Source organism: Homo sapiens, chromosome X (genome assembly GCF_000001405.40).
Source record: "Homo sapiens chromosome X, GRCh38.p14 Primary Assembly".
Classification (NCBI taxonomy): Eukaryota; Metazoa; Chordata; class Mammalia; order Primates; family Hominidae; genus Homo; species Homo sapiens.
In genome coordinates, this window is record NC_000023.11 from 28,580,075 (window position 1) to 28,599,432 (window position 19,358).

At 38.1% G+C, this 19,358-nt stretch overlaps 1 protein-coding gene across 1 annotated transcript in view, besides 1 other annotated feature; it reads left to right on the plus strand.

Moving 5' to 3' along the window:
• Positions 7,372 to 19,358, plus strand: part of IL1RAPL1 (interleukin 1 receptor accessory protein like 1) — a 1,369,273-nt gene continuing 1,357,286 nt past the window's right edge. Inside the window, exon 1 of the mRNA NM_014271.4 lies at positions 7,372 to 7,973. The gene's annotated coding sequence lies outside the window, so the exon portion shown is untranslated. The remainder of the gene's footprint in view (positions 7,974 to 19,358) is intronic.
• Positions 11,033 to 12,232: an enhancer, noted in NCBI's record as "P300/CBP strongly-dependent group 1 enhancer chrX:28609224-28610423 (GRCh37/hg19 assembly coordinates)". NCBI's record gives its function as "activates an origin of replication core promoter dependent on BRD2, BRD4, P300/CBP, MED14 and CDK7 cofactors, with strong dependence on P300/CBP, by STARR-seq in HCT116 cells {active_cell/tissue: HCT116}" and the evidence as "EXISTENCE:reporter gene assay evidence [ECO:0000049][PMID:35650434]".

The following is a 19,358-nucleotide window of genomic DNA, read 5'->3' on the forward strand; positions in this document are numbered from 1 at the left end:
TTTATCTTTCACCATGAGTAGACGTGAGTTCCAGTTGCTTCAACTCTTCACCCACATTTTCCGTTGCCCATGATTTCATTTTAAACATTTTGGGGAATGTGTCATGATGTTGCACTATGCTTTAAATTTATATCACCCTTATGTCTAATTAAGTCACTTACCTTTTGATGCATTCATTTGCCATTTGGCTATCCTCCTTTGTAATGTGAGTAAAATAGACTTCTTCAATTGGTAAATATATGTTTCAGTATTTTGTTCATTATTATTATAACTAGCTGGTTAGACAAAGCAGATTCACCTACTTGGCTTGTACTGAACAAAGTTAGACTGGTCCTCAGATGAACTGTCAGTAATACCCATGAGTTGTAGTCAGACAAGGTTATTCTAACCCCAAACACTACCAGCTTATTAAAAAAAAAAAGAAAAGAAGAAGCTATCCTGAATGTCTAGTTCCCTTCAACTCTGTAGCCAGTATAACAAAAATAAAAACAAAACACAAAACAAAAATAAAATGGCGATGACTCCTTACACCACTATAATATTCTCTGATCAGAAAAGAAAAGAAATGAAAACAAATTTTAAAAGCTAAAATGAAACAAAGCACTCCTCTCTCAAACACATACTATGTTCTAGGTACTCTATGGAGTATACATACTACAACATCCCCAGGAGGAGGTAATCCCATTAACTTCATTTTTTTACAGGAGGACATTCAGACTCAGAAAAGGTAAGGAATTTTCTCAAGGCCATATGGTGATAGGATTCAAACCAGATCATATTATATCAGATATCTCCATTATGTCCTCAACTTATCTTTTTAAATAAAAGGCTGACAGGCGATATGGCTGAGTCATGCCAGAAAAGAACTCCTAAAACTTCCTAGCTATGTAAGCTTGAATAACTATGTCACTTTCCTGGGTGAGACTCAATTTCCTCTGTCTAAAATAAAGAGATTATTCAAGGTTGTCTCTAGAGCCCCCTTCAAAAACTGATTCTATGATTTTAAACACTTTTGAGTTCTACTACCAGAACCAATGTTATTTCCTTCTAGGTACAAGAAAATTGGCCTACTTAGATGTTGCTCTTTATTACTGGTCTTCACTCTTTTGTGATTTTTATCTTGCTTTATCGATAAACCTCAAGGTCACCGAAATAACACCTTCTCTGTTCAGTCTTCCCTGATTCTTTTAGGCTGAATTCAGATCTCTCCTAGAGTACTTACCACAGCATGTATTACATGTGCTGTTTGTGGGTCACTCTATTGCTAGACATGAGCTCCTTAAAGACAAGGACTGTGCCTTACACATCCCTAGAGCCTCAACACCCTGCACTGTCTGTCACATAGCATGTAATTAATAAATGATAGACAAATGAATAGGTGAACAAATATTACTATCTCCAGTCACATAGGCTGAATATTTGAAAGCCAGAAGTGGGACCTCTATGATTATTTCTAGTTACCCTCTATCTTTCATTCCCAGAAACCAAGCAAGAGTGTGACTATAAGCACAGTCCCAGCCTCAGCTCTCCACAGGAGGGAGAGCTTGGAGTATAAATTGCACCACAGAGTTTTTTCAAACTATAGTAAAAAGAGCCAGGGTTTCATACTTCCACATCAGTCAGTTCTTGGGTAAGGTGGAAGAGGGTTTCAAATTCCAGGTACTTCCTGTTCTCATCACAGGCATGACACACAGTGCTAGTAGCCCAAGAGCAATTGTTAAAGAGGGTATGGGTGCTGGCCTTTAGAAGCAAACTACAGAGAAGAGGGTGATGGCTGTGAGTACACAGAGCTAGTCTGGGCTGAACTTTCACAGCCCCTGCCTTACCTTCTTTTCCCAATCTATTTTCCTCTGAAAAATATTATTAATCTAGGTAATTTGAGTGATACTGAAATTTGATTCCATATTTTATACTTGGAAACATTAGCTCACACTGTTCTCTTCCTTCATCAAACCTATTTTATACGCTGTAATTACCGTGAAATGCCCTGAATCATTTCAGAGGAAGTGATCTTCCATATATTTACATCAATACCGTTTCATTTATTTTCCCAAACCCAGAAGAGTATGAATTCTGCCCTACCACCCCCAAAGCATTCAATGCAGGAAATATTATTATTTTACCTGCTTCAACCACAATATCTGAAGCTATTTTTTTGTGCGTTCAATTTGAAGTAGAAGATATGCCACAGGTTCTGTGTCCTGGATATCATGAAGTCTGATATAAATACATATAAAAAGTGCAAGTGGTCTATTTCAGCAGAACTCTATGCAGAGATCAGAAATTCACCAGGAAATAGGTCTTTGTAACTCCCAAGTTCTGGTTAGATTTTAATAAAATGTAAGCTTTAGGAGAGCAGGAAACTGAACTAGATATATCCATAATGATACCCTCAGTACTTTGAACCATGCCTGGCACATAGTGGGTTTCCAGGGCACATTTCCTGAATCAATTACAATTTTAATATTTCACCCACCTGAAATATTGTTCTGCGGTTTTATTTAAACTGGCTGTCAGCATGGAATGACTTCTGCATTCTCTCCTGGAAGTGGGTGAATTTCCATGGTGAGCCATTCCTCTATATACAGTTTGCAAATCATTTTGGGAACCTTCCAAATGAAAGGCACTGTATAAATATACCCTCCCACCAGCAGCCAGCCGGCTTTCCACCGGGGATGCATTTGCATCGCTTATGTACACAGTGTTTCATTTGGGGCATTGCTTTTATTTTTATGACCATAAAAGAAATATTCACAGTATGAACAATAATGTAAACTGCATTCAAGAAGATATATATTTATATATTTTTATGATTCAAAACTTAGAAATCTGAAAGAAAAGCAGGCATGGCATTTTTCTTTCCTGTTGCTGTTTGCTTTTTCATAGCATTCTTTATTATTCCTGAACTTTATGGTGGAATTTTGCTGAAATGCTCAAGTCTTTGTCTGTACCTCATTTGAGAATATGTGGTGGTGGGTTCAAATGAATATTGCTGGCAAAAGGCCTGAAAATGAAGAGTACTTGATTTTGCATTTATTCAAGGCTATAATAATAGTTTGCTTTAGCGCAGCTTTTTGTGGATGGAGGCTTCTTTAAGGAGAGAAAGAGAAAAAGAAGCAACCTCAGGTATAAAATACCTTCTAAGTAACTTAGCATGATAATCGAAACTTTCACAGATGGAAGAGGCTTTGAAGAGACGTATTTTAGCCTTCAAAACAAAAGGGGGGCTGATTTCATAGAGCATTGTGGGGAGCTAGACTTTGAATTCATATCATATGGAAAATGTTTAGTGAACTTTGAAATAAACTGCCAACAGAATTAAATCAAAACCTCTGTAAATTATGTATTTATCTACATAGAATCATCTGCACACAAAAATGAACTGAATTATAACTTCTTAATTTATACATTTCCATAATTAAATTTAAACTGAATAAAATAACCCAATTCAGACATATTTCCTAACCTTAAGGATATTCTAGCCTTAAGGATTTTATTAAAAAGAGAAGCTACTCTGAATATTCAGAGTAATTTTATATAAAAAGTATCTAAAAAGGTAGATTAAATAAAACTCTTGTTCACTTCACTGAGTGGCTGGCAGCTGAGTAGGCTCTCTTTCTCTCTTTAAAGAAGCCTCCATCCACAAAAAGCTGCGCTAAAGCAAACTATTATTATAGCCTTCAATGACGTGAAATGTGAAGAATTAAATTTCAACTACCAATAGTTAAAGACAGAATCAATAAGAACTTGAGTTCATTTCAGGTGTTGATCATTCTCTTTCGTAAATACCAAATTTGATATTTTCTCACGTTTTACTACTAAAACAATGAAAGTGATTTTTGAAACCTTAACTATAGGATAGTAATATTAGGAAATAGCTCACTCAGTTTATTTTGGGGTTTGTAAAGTGGGGTTATATTCTCCATCTCCCAAGTCAGAATATTTCTGTAGCTAACCTTTAATTTCATACTCCCATTAATACCAACCTTGTTTCATTAAAATGAATCTAATGTACAGTATCTTGACATTCTTCTTTATTACTAGAAAATAAAACAGCAGTTTCTTCAACTGAGAAAAGCTAGAAGCATGGAATTGATCTGCAGCCAGTTTTTACTACAAACCCCATAATGCTTTGCATTATAGCCTACAATCCCCATACTGCAGTGCCAAACCTACAGTTAACCATCATATTACTGGAAAGAAAAAGAACAGAATATTTGAGAACTATGTAGCATGCAAGGATTCTACTTGAATAGTAAATTATCAATTTGTTTCCAGTATTTTGTGATTTGCTTGCCTTTTCCTTTAGTAAAAAAGGCATATTTATGGATATGCACTCTATTTCCTCATCCTCAATATAATGTCGCATATTCTCAAATGATATATCAAGGTATATACTTTCCATGTCAAAGACTCTTTTTTAAAAATATCCATCATTGGGTTGTGTAGTTTTCCACCCTCCTTTGGAGGGAGGTCAGCTTTATTCAGATTTTAAAATAAAAATCACAATACATTGTTGAATGCTCTAAACATCTGCAAATGAGAATTCAGTGAAGTAATTAAAATTCTTAATTAGATGCACCTTGCAGCTGCCGTTAGTCTTAATTGGCAATAATGCAGCTACATTTTGTTCTGACACATATCTTCAGAAGAGTTAGAGAACTGAAGGGAGGCAAGAGGAAAATGTTCCCACACAGTTCAAGATAGTTCGCACAAAGAGGATCCCATGGCAACAAACAGCGAGGCCCACAGTTGGCTCTGTAGGATCCAGGAATAGACAATGCTTCACCTCAGATTCAAACAAACACTTCCTTTCCTGGATCTGATCATTTCATTTGAAATGAAAGCACTTTAAATCATCTCTTGAAATAGGATTGAAGTGGTCAAATGTTCACCTGTGTCCTCGAGATGCTTTTCAAAGCTTCTAGATGCTCTCTGCAGCCCATGTCAAGGTAATAATCATAACTCCTTCTCTGTGTACAGTAACAAACTGACTTGCAGAACATTTCAAAGAGAGGACGTGATTTTTGTACCATATGGAGCTGGACAGCACGTTGGCAACTGGTTAATTTCAACCTGTCATTTTATAGACAAGGAAACTGAGGCCAAGAGAAATTAAAGTGATTCCCTTGGGTAATTATGGCTACTTAGGAGTAGAATTTAGACTCAAATCTAGGATTGGAGCCTACGGTCAAGACGTTTACTTTTAAATTTTGCTTGAAGCAATTACATTTACACTTGTTACTTGTGCCCCCCTCCAGGTCTGCTTGAGGTCTATTCACATTCAACTGGGTCAACTAGAGGACTGTGATGGAAGGTATAGAAAATCTAGATCACTCACGTTGAAAGGAGGGGAATATATTTCCTCTTCACTTCTAATCTTCAGTTTAGGCTGAATTATAGCATGTGGGGAAGAAGCAGAGGGAAGAAAAACACTGGCACAGAAGATGTGAACATGGGTGAGTTAGCTTCAAAGAAACCTTGTAAGACTTGCCTACCGACTTTAACCACATTTTCCCTCTGCTTAGGTTGGAAATTTCAGTGTACTGCTCCTTTTTTCGAAATACAGTTTTACCTCCCTGTCTAGTCTCCCTGCCTGCTGTTATTCTCACCTGCGCGCTTAGTTTGTATTCGTTTAGCTCACATTTTACCTAATTTTTAAAGTGTTTTCTTTATCTTGATGCGTGTTTTACTCCCCAAATTAAAACAGTTCTGAAGGGCCAAGGCTACTTTACCTATTTATTCTATTTTTGGTTTATCCGGTTAAGCCTGCCATTACAAAAGCTTGTGGGATACATTACAAAATGGGTTAAGGTTTTTAAGTACATGGGCTGCCGGTGTTGAATGGGAAAGGTTGCAGGGTGGGGAGAGGGAGAGAAGTAACTAGAAAAGCGGCTCGCTGCCTTTTAATCATCCAGCCTACTCAGCTGCCGGAAACTGACACTGTTGCTGCAGTGTAAACATTAACATTTTTTAAGGGTCTTGCTACTCCAAATGTGGTCCACAGCCCAGCAACATTATTATGGGCCACGGGCGAGCTTATTAGAAACGCAGGGTCTCAGGCCTCACTCCAGATGTACCGAATCCGAATCTGCATTTTAACAAGACACCCAGGTGACGGTGTGTACATCAAAGTTTGAGAATCACGGAATCACATGTGAGTGTTATACTATCCCAATGTAAATGGTCAAGGACCTTAAATTGAGCAAATAACCTAATGTATTTACCCGTACCTACTTTGACCCTCTTTCTTCATCACAAATTCATCTCAGAAACCAGCAGCGAACTCTTTTGCAGGGAACTCAATTACGCGGTGGATGGGAGGAGGATCCTCTTCAATACCCTCCCCTCCGCTCCTCCTCCCACTCCCCACCCCCACCCCGCACTCCCAGAGAGCCTTCCACAGGCACCCTTCTCCCAAGCCCCACTCACTTAGGGAAGATTTTGCTCCTCCCCCAAACTGAAAGCGCGGCTGTGAGGAGGGTTACTGCTTGAAGGACTCACAGTTTGCATATCAATACAGACAGAGGCACTTTTGCAAAACTGCCCTTTAGAAACAATTATCATCTTAGCACCTGAGGTTTGTTTGGAGCAGCCCCCGCACCCCTTCTCTCTTGTAATCCATCTTAAAGTGATACGGAGAATGGGGGCGTTGGGGAGACAGTGATGGGGGTGGGAGGGTCGCGCGCAATAATAAATCTGCTTCAAAGAGAAGAGATGAAAAGGAGGTTATCAAGAGTGTGTCGGCTTAGGCATCACTCTCTGTATCTTTCTGCTTCCTAGAGAAATGGAACCATAATTCTAAGGTGGCTAAGGCAAGACTGTATAAGCATCCAAATTTGCCAGTCTGCTTTTGCCTGGAAGAACAGATTTCCGTTATTTGAAGCCTCCCAGGGTCCTTTCCAAAAGATTCCCAGGCTACCTTCCTTCCACTTCGGTCTTCTGAGAACTCAAACTCGCAAAGCGGTGGCTGTCTGTGGATTGGCTAGTACTAAAATATCCATTGGGTGGCAGTAATACTATCCTCTTTATGACTTGCAGCAAACCAGAGAATGCATTCAATCAAATGAACCGATCTTGTAGAAACACTGGAATCATTTATGCGTTGCAGTTTCTCTTTCTTGTTTTCGCTCCTTCTTCCCTGGGATATTTTGAGTGGATTGTGGCTATTAATCAAGATCTCGTGCTATTCGTGTTTTGCTTGTGGTTTTCGCTCAGGATTAGCATCATTCAAGGCAAACGCAAAGCTGCTTTTCCCACCCCCCCCCCCGACTCTTTTTTGAAAAATCATTTTTGGGGGCTGCTGAGGAGAGCTAGGACCCAGGAGACACCTTCCCAAACAGCAGGGGTTGTGTGCTTTCACATAGCAGTACTGTACAAGGAAAACCCCGTCGGATCTGTTATTGCGGGATACTTGTGAAATATACATAGGATTCTTTCTTATGGCTGCATCCCGGATCTGGAAATTTTACTTGGGGACCAGGAGGATTTGAAAGGCTGCATGTACTCAGAAGATTTGCAAGCAACACTCCAATTCTTGTCATAGAGCTCGCAGACTTCTCACTTATCGGCTTTTTTCCTTCCTTATTTTTTAAGAATTATTCTTATTTTCCCCTCTCTTTTTCTGCTCTCTCCTCTCTCAGTCTCTCCTTTTCTATCTGCCTCTTCATTTTTCTCCTAGTCTGTTTTTTTTTTTCCTGCTCTGCACCTGGATTGTATCTTCAGCAAACAATCGGGCACTTTGAGAACTAACTGGAGACAGTCTTGTAGGGAAGATCTGTATGGAATTATCTGCTTTTATGGTGAACTTGGCATTTGTGAATGGGAATCTTGTTCACAATATTAATTGCTAGCAAAAACAAGAAAAAGAACACAGGAGTAAAACGTGGATTTTTCTGAATACGCATTGTGATGACCAGCAATTACCTTACCGACTAATATCCAGAGGAGAATAATTTGGAAGACTGTTGTGGGTAAGGTCATTTTATATATGCAAACCCATCAGTGGCATGAGCAAACTTGGGCATTTGTAATGGGAATGGGTGACTTGAATGATTGCTGCATCGCATTGATGGCTGTGATGTGGCCGTTATTGGCACTGAATGGAATAACTGCAGTTGGGTGTGTTGATATGTGTGTGTGTGTGTGTGTGTGTGTGTGTGTGTGTGTGTGTATGTGTGTGTGCGTGTGTGTGTATATGTATGTGTGCCCGTATTCTGAGTGCAATTGAAAATCAAAGTATCACTCTCTCCCCCAATTATTTTGATATGGAAGAGTGTCTTGAATTAATTCTGGGTAGACACTCTTTGTTTGAATGTAATATTTGTGGCCCCTGCGTTCTGGAAGGGGTAGCAGCAGTAAAAGAAACACTTAGTGAAGAGCCCCATTTAAAATGAAACGAGCTACTCTCTATGCATTAAAAGAAATATGTTTTCAACTCAGTGCAGCATTCTGCTGCATTTCACAGCCGCAATGGGACCAGGGACATCCCACTTGTCAAGTTCTTAAACTTTAAGGTGATAATCATCGTTAATTGTTCTCTAGGTTGTGGTTACTGGAGATTATTAAGCGCCCTGGGCTACTTTTTTATCTACTGGATTATCACTCAGAGTGAAAAAAGGAAAAGAAAAGAAAAAGCTAAAAATGATGGCTAACATAGAGAAGAATAAGGCAACATTATCTTAAATATCACCACAGTGCTTTCTTTCTCAAGTTCAATTGCCCAATAATATAATTATTTACCCAATATCCTAAATAGCTGAAGCTGAGACCCACGTGCAGGGGAGTCGAAGGTCTGAAAGCAGAGACCGTCCTTTTATTGCAATGCAGCCAGCTTGGGAAATGCAGGCAATTAATTACATACTTCCCCTAACCTTAAGTTGAAGATGTGTCCTGTCTGCTACATCTATTTTACCCTTTCGGTAAAAAGTTAGAGACTAGAACACTAAGGATGTTTAAGCATATTCTGCCTGGGAAATGGGATAAAGAAATCAATATTGATGACGTGGTTCAGTGCACTGTACTGCAATGCTAAAGTTCCATATTCAGTGCCTGTGATGAGAGAGTGGAGCATTTACATATGTTATAAATCTCACCTGGTAGATTGATCCAAAGGGGAGGGGAGAAGATATGTGGATATGTAGGAAGATGGATGGAAGTCGTGCATAATCGGTGATTATGTAACTTCATTACATCAGCGAGTTTCAGTCAACGATAGTGAGATGAGATGATTGTATAGAGAGAGGCTCCATCACCCTGTTAACTTTTGAAGGCTTGTAACAGCTAACAGAGGAGGAGGGCAGAGAGAGATTAGCTCCAAGGGTCCTGTAAACCTTGATCTCTATGGCAAATTTTGCATGAGTTTTCTCATAGTGAGTTTCGGAGGGACATCAGATCATATAAGCTTTAGGGCTGGACAGGACCAATTTTAGCCACACCCGTGGAGAGTCAAAATGAGTCTGCGATGTTTCAGAAGTGCCCCATTGAGTAACTGGGACTGATGATTCCAGCCAAGGTCATAGTTCTTTACCCTAGGATTGAAATATATGACCCCAACTGAATGGAAAGTTAAATTCATTGAAATGATGACTGTGAACGGAATGAATATTTAGGGTCCTTTCTTGCATTTTTCCTGGTAGAGCTTGATGCAGATTTCAGCCTGGTGGTTCCCTCATAAAAATGATGATTGCTTCCACAGCGTGTCAGAAATGACTGTTTTGTCCCTTTATCTTAACCATGACAATCTCTTTCTGGGCCATTTTAACCTTCTGGGAAAAGAGAAGTAAAAGCATTCAAAGGTAACAGTACCCTGTTAAATTACAAATTAAATGGCACTGGATTCATTATTAACACAAATCCCAGAAAAAAAGAGCAATCCATGTTCAAGTTTCACTTATTGAATGGCTTAAAAGACAGGTTGCAGCTGCCAAAGACTTTTACCATCATATGAGATAAATGTACTGTGCTCACTGTGCAGAGAAGGGAATACTGCAGAATAAAATGTCATTTTCCCTCATGTTTTATCTGGAGTTGTGATTTTTTTTAAAGAAGATACACATCAGGTCCTTTTGGCCTTCTACTGTTTTAGGATCTGTTTTCTCCTCAATAGATCACATATTCACAAAAAATGAAACTTCTGAAATCCTAACCCTGTTCAGTTGAATCACCTTATTATCTAGTTGTGCTATTTCCTATTTCTCTTTACATTTATTTTACAAAGAGGGCTAAACGACTTTTCTGTCAGGGAGATGAGATGATTTTTTTCTGTTTTTCTTTTATTTCTCATATTCCATTTCCTTCCAGTCCTAAGGAGTAAGATGCAGAATCTAGACACCCTCTAAGTAACTTTGAAAAGATTTGCTCACCCTGAGTCAGAATGGTGGGATTGGGGAATGAAATTCTAAGGTCTGATATTTGAGGTGACTTTCATACTTCTGCAGGACATGCACAAACATTGATGTATTGTGCCAGTGGATTGGGAGGTTTGGCGTTCATATTGTGTAGGAAATTGAATGTGAATTTAACTCCTGATTCCTTCCTTCAGGGGTCAGGGTAGCACAACAGCTGCTTCCAGGCTGTTGGTTTCCAACTATGTGCACAAATATAGTCTGTAATGATTTTTCCTACTCCTTCTTTCAATATTTTATAAATGACTTCCTCAGTTGTTTTCTGACGTAAGCCACACATATGTTACCAAGCAGGGCATAGGTTTTCTAAGCTCAGTAGGAGATGGAAATAATAGCAGGATGGAAAAAGATTCTGTACAAAAAGACACTGGTTGTGAAGCAAATATACATATGTAATTGCTAACTCCTTACTTGAAGACTGCATATACTTCTATTAGGAAAGATAGTTTCAATCATGTTAATGGCACTTTATAAGCTGTTACTTTCTTTAGGAAGATTATGTAACTAAGGCAGGTTATGGCATTTTTCTTAAGTATCCTACACATTAGTAATAAAAAGCTTTGTCTAATAGGAAAGCATTTAAACATGATGGCAGTGGGTAATTTGAAATGTAACATCTATTTTCTATTTTATTTCCATTTTGTCAGCCGCAGTCATGTAGTTAGGTTAGAAAATATTTGGGAAAAAAAGAAATACCATTTATGAATATGAAAGCTATCAATTTTGCTTCCTGACCAGTTGCTTCAGCAAAGTAAGGAGATTTAGCAGATAAGTAATCACGGTATTCCTAAAACTAGAGAAAATTTTAAATTGAATTTTCATTATGTTTGCAACATATGTGAACAAATCAGTATTACTTTTAAAATGGCTATTAGATAAAACATTTTAAAGAACAGTTGAACTTTGAAGATTTATATTTCAGAATTTGTTAGTTTGTTACACACTGAAATGTTTGGGATGTACTTTGACTTACAACAGATATGATGTTTGGTGTTTGGCAAATCTTGTGTTTTTATAAAGCAGACTACTCTATAATTTGTAGCAACAAAACAAGTGTTGATTATTGAGATTTAAAAGTAGCAAGTTTTCTGGTGATGCTCAAGTTATAAAGCATAATTATAATTGTACCGGTTGGGCAGCTATAGGTAAGGTCGCGTCAGCCTTTTTATTACTAAATTCCAACCCTATTTCCATTAGGTTTATCGGGAATCTCAAAGAGGAGAGTCCAGTTCTGTGAGACATCAAGGCATTGTAGAATTCCGGGCTGAGTCAGAGGGCTCGAAACTGTACTTCCGGCTCTGTCAATTACTAGCCTTGTGACCTCTGACACCACATTTGATTTCTCAGTGTTCCAGAGAATCATTTTTTAAAAAAATAAATAGTTGCACATTGCTCTACAGAAAGGAGATAATATGTGTCTAAGTACTTACCACCATCCTATGCCTTAGAAATATATGGAATTATTATTAAGGATTCCCTTAAGTCTTATTAATTTAGCTGTGCATGTTTTTTACACCCTTATTGTAAATCTGAATAGGTGCTTTCTAGTAGCAATTACAGTTAGCTGTACATAATACTGTTCAGTGATTAACCAACAAAGACAAATTAAAAGCTTTGTTGGTTAACTTTCACTCAGTACTCAGTTTTTTCCAGAAGTACTCATATGGGAATATAGTTGTCTTAAGTAATTAAAAAAATAGTTGCTTTTGAATAACATTCAAACAGTGGTAACTAAGGGTTTTATGTGTGAGAGTGTTTTCTGCAGATTGCTTTTTAAAAAATGCTTCTGAGTACTTAGGAGTTTCTGTTTCTGCTACCAAGAGCACACAAACAAATGTACACAAACTTGATGCTACTTCACAGACTGAGTACATTGACCAGAAAGTGACTCTTGTCTTTCAGTATATTAACAAAAGCATAATGAGTTTGAATACCAAGTGTAATAGAGAAAATGAGAATATAAAGATACCCGGTCTGTTTGGAATTTTCTAGTTGTAATAATTACTAACTTTCTTTAGGGGGAGGCAATCCCCCATGTGTCACTACTAAAACTGCATCTCTTTAATGTTCTTGTATCTTAACAGAATGATATTTACATATATGCAAAGAGGATAGTTTAGTGATATGAGCTTCCATGTATGTTTTTCAGTGACTGAATAATCAGGTTACAGAGTAAGTTTTTGTATTTTGGTTAAAATAGAATTGGAAAGTGCAAAATTAACCCTGTAATAAATTAGTAGTCCTGGGCTTAAAATAAAGAATTTTCATGTTGTAGAGCAACCTCCTCTTCGTAACTTCCCAGTGTCTTGCTTTTCTTTTCAAGGATTCCCAATATATTTTTGTTTCAGATGAATTTCATTATGCATGTTTATCTGACTTCATTGATGCCTATTAATAGCAAGCATTTTCTTGGTTTCCTATATTTAAAAAATGCATGTTCTTTATGTCTTATGGCAATACTTTAGATTTGCTCTGGCAGATTTATGAAAGAATATTGTATGAATGTAGACAGGCTTGTTTATTTGACAAATTCAGCTAATCACCTTACAAATATGCTTTTAATTTTCACCCAGAAAATGCCACCCTGGAGTGTCTTATACTGCATATAACATTCTATTACAGTCCAACCACATGGCTCAGTGGACATACTTATCCATTAAGTATGCTTATCCTGACCATTGGTTTACTAGGAAAGATCCTTAATTGACATGCTTTTTGGTATCCTTGTGTAGACACAATATTCAGGTGCCCAAACTCTAAAACTCCTGTCTTTTAGCTACAGAGAAGGGATGACTAGGTGGCTTGATGTTGCTTTCTTATCACATGATCTGAAAATCCCAGGCACTGAACTGTGAATAAAGCAAAGGGAGAAAGAAAAGAAAGAGAACTAAAAGAAAATTTTACTTCTGAAAATTTTGCTCTTTCCCATTTTAATATCACAATATTAAAAGCAATCTTTTTTATCACAAGCTATTCAAATGGTTTGTTATAGTTACTATGCTCATATATATCAAATACGATAAATGGCACTAAATGAGCTGCTTTGTTCTTACAGGAGCTACACCTCTGTGAACATAAATTTAAGAGTTAAACTAGATTGTACGTTGTAACACTACGTCAGGATATTGTGTGTAGAATTTGGACTTACTGAAAAATTGAAATGGATTGTGGATTGTAATCATATAATTATAGACTTTTACTCTTTCGATGTTTATTAGGTATCTTATACTTTATTTGAATTATAATTATAATAAATCAGCATATGGATAATCATAAAATTATTCATAGTAGTTTATCTTCTTATGACCTAATCAAAACGAGTTACCTTATCGATGTTTTAGATTAATATGTATGACTTGGTATAGTGATCTTCATCATTTTCTGGTGCAAAGTTCCCTTTTTAATTAAAAAAATTCACTGGAAGTCCACTTAGTCATAGTTATACTTTCAGTATCCATTAATTGAGAAAATGCATGATAATAATAGTAAATTATTATGAATATAATAACTCTTTAAAAATGAATTTATGTATAGTCACAACAGAGTCTACTTATATCTTTGAAATGCATGGTTTATTCTATCTACATAGAAAGTTTGGTGTTTATATAGATTCTAGATTCCTTGGAGTAACTCCTGCAGCTGTAGTAAATAAAAGATCCATATGTCTAGAGGCAAAATACTTGCATTACATATACATATTAATCATGTTCATCTTACAGAGAAAATGAAAGGTAAGTGCGTATGGTGGTGGTTTGTGGATCAAAGGAGTTGAATTTCGGTATAGATGGACTTAAGAGTATATAATTTTCTGAGGATGTACATTTAGAGTTCCAAAATATTCCCATTCGAGTTTTAGGATTCAACAGTTGTAATTTAAAATTGGTTGATTTTGGAAAATAATTGCTTTTTTAAAAAATAAACATTGTTTTTATTGTAGCCAAAATAAAAATGAATTATTATAAAAGCCAAAGGTGATCAAAATCTCATAAAAACCTAATAGAATTATATGCATTATAGGAGTAAGGGATGCCCCATTATGTGATTTTAAACAAGGAATTTGCAAACCAGAGAAATGAAGTGAAGTTTCCAAGATCTTACAATTTGTTGGCTCTCTCATGATGCATGATTTCAGTTCCTTCATATAAGCCCTCAGCTGGGTGTTCTAGTTATATAGCAATATGTCCTGGCATACAGCATTATTTTTTATTAGTACAGCTAATGTTGGCATATCGAATCCTTTGGCCTCTAGCTTACTTTACCGATTTGTGATCAGTCGTCTGACTTCTGCACTCAGAATCTGTGGACTTTATTTTTCCTTTACGCACACCTGATTTTTGACCTCATTTGATCCCTGGAGACACAATACAAAGGAGAGTTGAGAACATAGGTCACTGGTGGGTCTTCTTGTCTTTTCCATACTGTGCTTTTCCCATTAGCTTTGTATCTTTCCACCTGCAGGGAATTGCTCTTCTTTGGAGCCTCTCCACTTTCTGGACTTTCCTGAACATCCCTGGCCATCTTTGTCTCAGTGCTGCATGCTACCTTCTTGCTTCCAGGGGATTCCACTAAGGGGTCCTATCAAAATATCTTCTAGCTACACTTTATCCCACTTTGACGATATTGAATTTCATATTTCATTTCTTCATCAACAGGGTCAGTCTGCTTACATAAACAATAGTGAACCAATTTTGGAATAATGAAGACAGTAATATTTTATCAAGTTTGCCAAGCTACAATCATATAACTACTACTAAATGAACAAGATACAGCTGGTGTGTGTGTGTGTATCCTCATATCCTAATGACTGCATTAATATGTGTATCCACACACATACATGATTTTTGTTGAAATGTTTGACAAATGAATCATCGTTAATATGCTAAAGAGGAAAGTTTGGAATAACAGGCTTTATCCCTTTGTATTATAATAGTGACATTTCTAGAAAAGATGCCATTAACTTCTGACCCCGAAAAATAGCTTGAAAGGACTGCATTTTAGATGATAAGGTGGAGACAGGGCTGTGGAGGACATACTTTTGTTCAGGCTGAATCCCGCAGTGCCCTCTAGAGTTACTGGGTAGGGAGCTGGTAGCATACCTGTATGAAGAAATGACACTGGCTATGAACACTATGATGCTTACAACCTCTCTGCCAACTTTATTTCAGAAGAGACACAGTCAGGAGAGCTAAATACAGTGGTAAAAATGGAAAAACTGAGAGAGTTAGAATGGTATCAAGTATTTTGTGTAAACAAAGCTTCATGTGGCCAAGGGAGAAAATTTGAATGTAACAAATGGATCTGGTAGCTCTCAGTGTTTGGTTTTTGGATACCCCTATTAAAGCTCCTAATTGTTCTCACCATGACAGAACTCCTGAATGGTACTCAAGAGGCACCCAGCTCCACAGTGTGCAGAGTAAATGCATTCAAGGGATCTCTAGGGGTTTTTGACTCTGCTGTTTTTTCTTGTCGAGGTTCTCCTACAGGGCCCTTAATAACACAGCCACAGAGCAAGCCGCTTATGTCAGTGGGTGTGCTCTTCTCAATGAGTGAATGGTTTAGCTTAGCTCTAGGAGGCAAGTGCCTGCTGGTCTTGTATTTCCAGGGCCCAACATTGTGCACAGCATATAGTAGGTCATCAGTAAATCATTACACAAGCAAACGCTTAAACACTTACGGATAACAGGTCAGTTTTAGATCTGTGTTCTCCAAAACTCATGCTACATTATACGTAGAGACAAAAGCTTCTGATTTAAAAAAGTAAAAAAAGGAAAATTGAGTAATAAAGGAGAGAGAATTAATATTAGGTAGTTTAAAACCTACAAATGAACTGAAGGAGAAGAAATCACCTGCCTGCCTGTCTCCCTCCCTCCCTTCCTTCCTTCCCTCCCTCCCCTTCTTCTTCCTTTCCTCCCCCTTCCTTCCACCTCTATCATAGGTATTTAAGTGCCTTCACTGTTCAAGGGGATGCAAGAGGGACTGCAAAGGTCCCTCCCTACAGAGATGACTGATGTCATGTGTCTGGGCCCAAAAATGGTTTAGTTAGGGATATGACTACTAAACAAAATCACATATACCGACATCCCTTGGTGTCCATGGGGATTGGTTCCAGGACCCCTTGTGGACACCAAAATCCACAGATGCTCGAGTCCCTAATATAAAATGGTCTCGTATTTGCATATGACCTATGTACATCCTCCTGTATAAATTATCTGAAGATTACTTATACCTAATACAGTGTAAATGCTATGTAAATAGTTGTTACATTGTATTTTTATTTGTATTATTTTTAATTATTTTGTTGTTCTTTTTAAATTGTTTTTAAAAAATATTCCTGATCCATGGTTGCTTGGATCCACAGATATGGAAGGCCACCTGTTATTATAATTCAAGATAGTCTACCATACATACTTCTAAGAGAGATGCCAAGTATGCTATGGGCTCAAGAAACGTTCAGGACACATGCACGTAGAGGGATTAGGTGAGGCTTGCTGAAGGAGGCAGCCTTTGTATTGGACTTTGAAGGAGTTAACATGGGTATGGAGATGTGACCTTCTAAATAGAGGGGAGATCAAAAATATACTGTAAGGAGGACCAAATGGAGCATGGTTAAGGAAGATCCAATGTTCTTGTTTCCCCAGAGAAGGGGGTATATGATATGAAATGTAAGAAGATAAGGCTGGAGCCCTGAGCCTTCATGTCTGGCAAGCAGGAGCCAATGGAATGGTATTGCATGAGCTTAAGGAAAACAGAACATTTCATGACCCGCTCAGATTTATGCTTTAGGAAGAAGGGGGATGAATTAAGAGTGTGTATCTCCAGGTTACCATTGATTTCAAGTTGTGTGAATTTCCCAGTGACTCCTGAGTTTCACGCTTATTCCAATTTTCTCATGTAGAACCCCAGGCCTCAAACAGGCATCACTGGCTCTCTTCATTTTCCTCTTTCTTTCTTCCTTTCAAAGAAGAAACTGCTGGGTGCAGTGGCTTCACGCCTGTAATCCCAGCACTTTGGGAGGCGGAGGCAGGCGGATCACCGGAGGTCAGGAGTTCGAGACCAGCCTGACCAGCATGGTGAAACCCCGTCTCTACTAAAAATACAAAATTAGCCGGGCATGGTGGCACATGTCTGTAATCCCAGCTACTTAGGAGGCTGAGGCAGGAGAATTGCTTGAACCTGGGAGGCAGAGGCTGCAATGAGCCGAGATCACACCATTGCACTTAAGCCTGGGCAACAAGAGTGAAACTCTGTTCAAATAAATAAATAAATAAGCAAACAAACCACTGCTACCAGTGCTGGATAAATACAGAAGCCAGAGTTTAACATTAGCTTTTACTTTTTTCAAGCAGAAGGCAAGATTCTGTAATGGGGCTGATCCATTCAAACTATCCTTGCTTGGTAGTATTAGAAAGTTGCCACACACTGTAGCAACAATGCTAAGATTTAAGTAACTCTTTAATGAGTACACTGGATAATGTTTAAAGTTTATTTCTTTACTGTGATGGCAACAGCAAAGTGACTCTAAAGTGACAATTCATCTGGAAGAAAGAAGTTGAAGGAAGCAACTGGGAAAAAAGAAAAAAGGAAAGTGCTTTATATAATGTAATGCCAAGGTGGAAATATAGATTTCAAAATGGTTTTATAGTAAGATCATATGGAATAAGAATATTGCTTTCGAGTAGAATGTACATTCAGTAATAAGATAATAGGATTTATTTCTAACAAGTGTGAACTCTTTTGCTAACTACCAATAATTATAACAATTTTGAATTGTAGCTGGAAATTGGAAAGTGAGCCTCCTAGTAATAAAAAATCCCCATGCTAGTTTAGTTTAAATTATTTTTCTTATCAAATACTTTATCTACACTTCTAATAAGTGGAAGAAAAGAAACCAGTAGGTATAGTTTTTTTTCCCATACTGTATCTGATCATTCTATATTGGAAGATGTAGTAAGCTGGAAAATAGCCAAACGTTGAAGACAAAATGAGAAAAAATGCAATTTACTTAGGCACAAACTAAATGTTATGTACATCATCCTTAGGATTCAGGTGAAAGAACAAGTCTCACAGTCTAGCTGTTGTCAAAACTCACTCCCCTATCCCTGAGGATCCTGATTCGGTGTTTGGAATGCAGTATAGAAATTTGTAGGTTTTTTTTTTTTTTTTTGAGATGGAGTTTCGCTCTTTTTTGCCCAGGCTGGAGTGCAATGGTGCAATCTTGGCTCACTGCAACCTCTGCCTCCCGGGTTCAAGCAAATCTCCTCCCTCAGCCTCCCGAGTAGCTGGGATTACAGGTGTGCGCCACCACACCCGGCTAATTTTGTATTTTTAGTAGAGACGGGGTTTCACCATGTCGGCCAGGCTGGTCTCAAACTCCTGACTTCAGGAGATCCACCCACCTTGGCCTCCCAAAGTGCTGGGATTACAGGCATGAGCCACCGCACCCAGCCGAGAAATTTGTACTTTCAAAAACATTTGAGGGCCAGGCATGGTGGCTCATGCCTGTAACCCCAGCACTTTGGGAGGCCGAGGCAAGGGAAACAGCCTGAGTTCAGCAGTTCAAGACCAGCCTGGCCAACATGGAGAAATCCCGTCTCTACTAAAAATACAAAAATTAGCTGGGCACATTGGCAGGTTCTTGTGATCCCAGCCGGCTACTCGGGAGGCTGAGGCAGGAGAATCGCTTGAACCTGGGAGGTGGAGGTTGCAGTGAGCCGAGATTGCACCATGCACCATTGCACTCCAGCCTGGGTGACAGAGCGAGACTCCATCTCAAAAAAAAAAAAAAAAAATTGAGGTCAGTAGGATCACCAAGATGTTCCTTGGGAGGGCTTCAGCAGAAACCTCTCAGTCTCTGTCAGTATTACTTTCCTCCTGGCGTCATAAGTTACAATGGATATTGGATGCTTTCTTGATGTTTTCCAAAGTGCCCCTCCAACTCAGCTTCAACTTTCA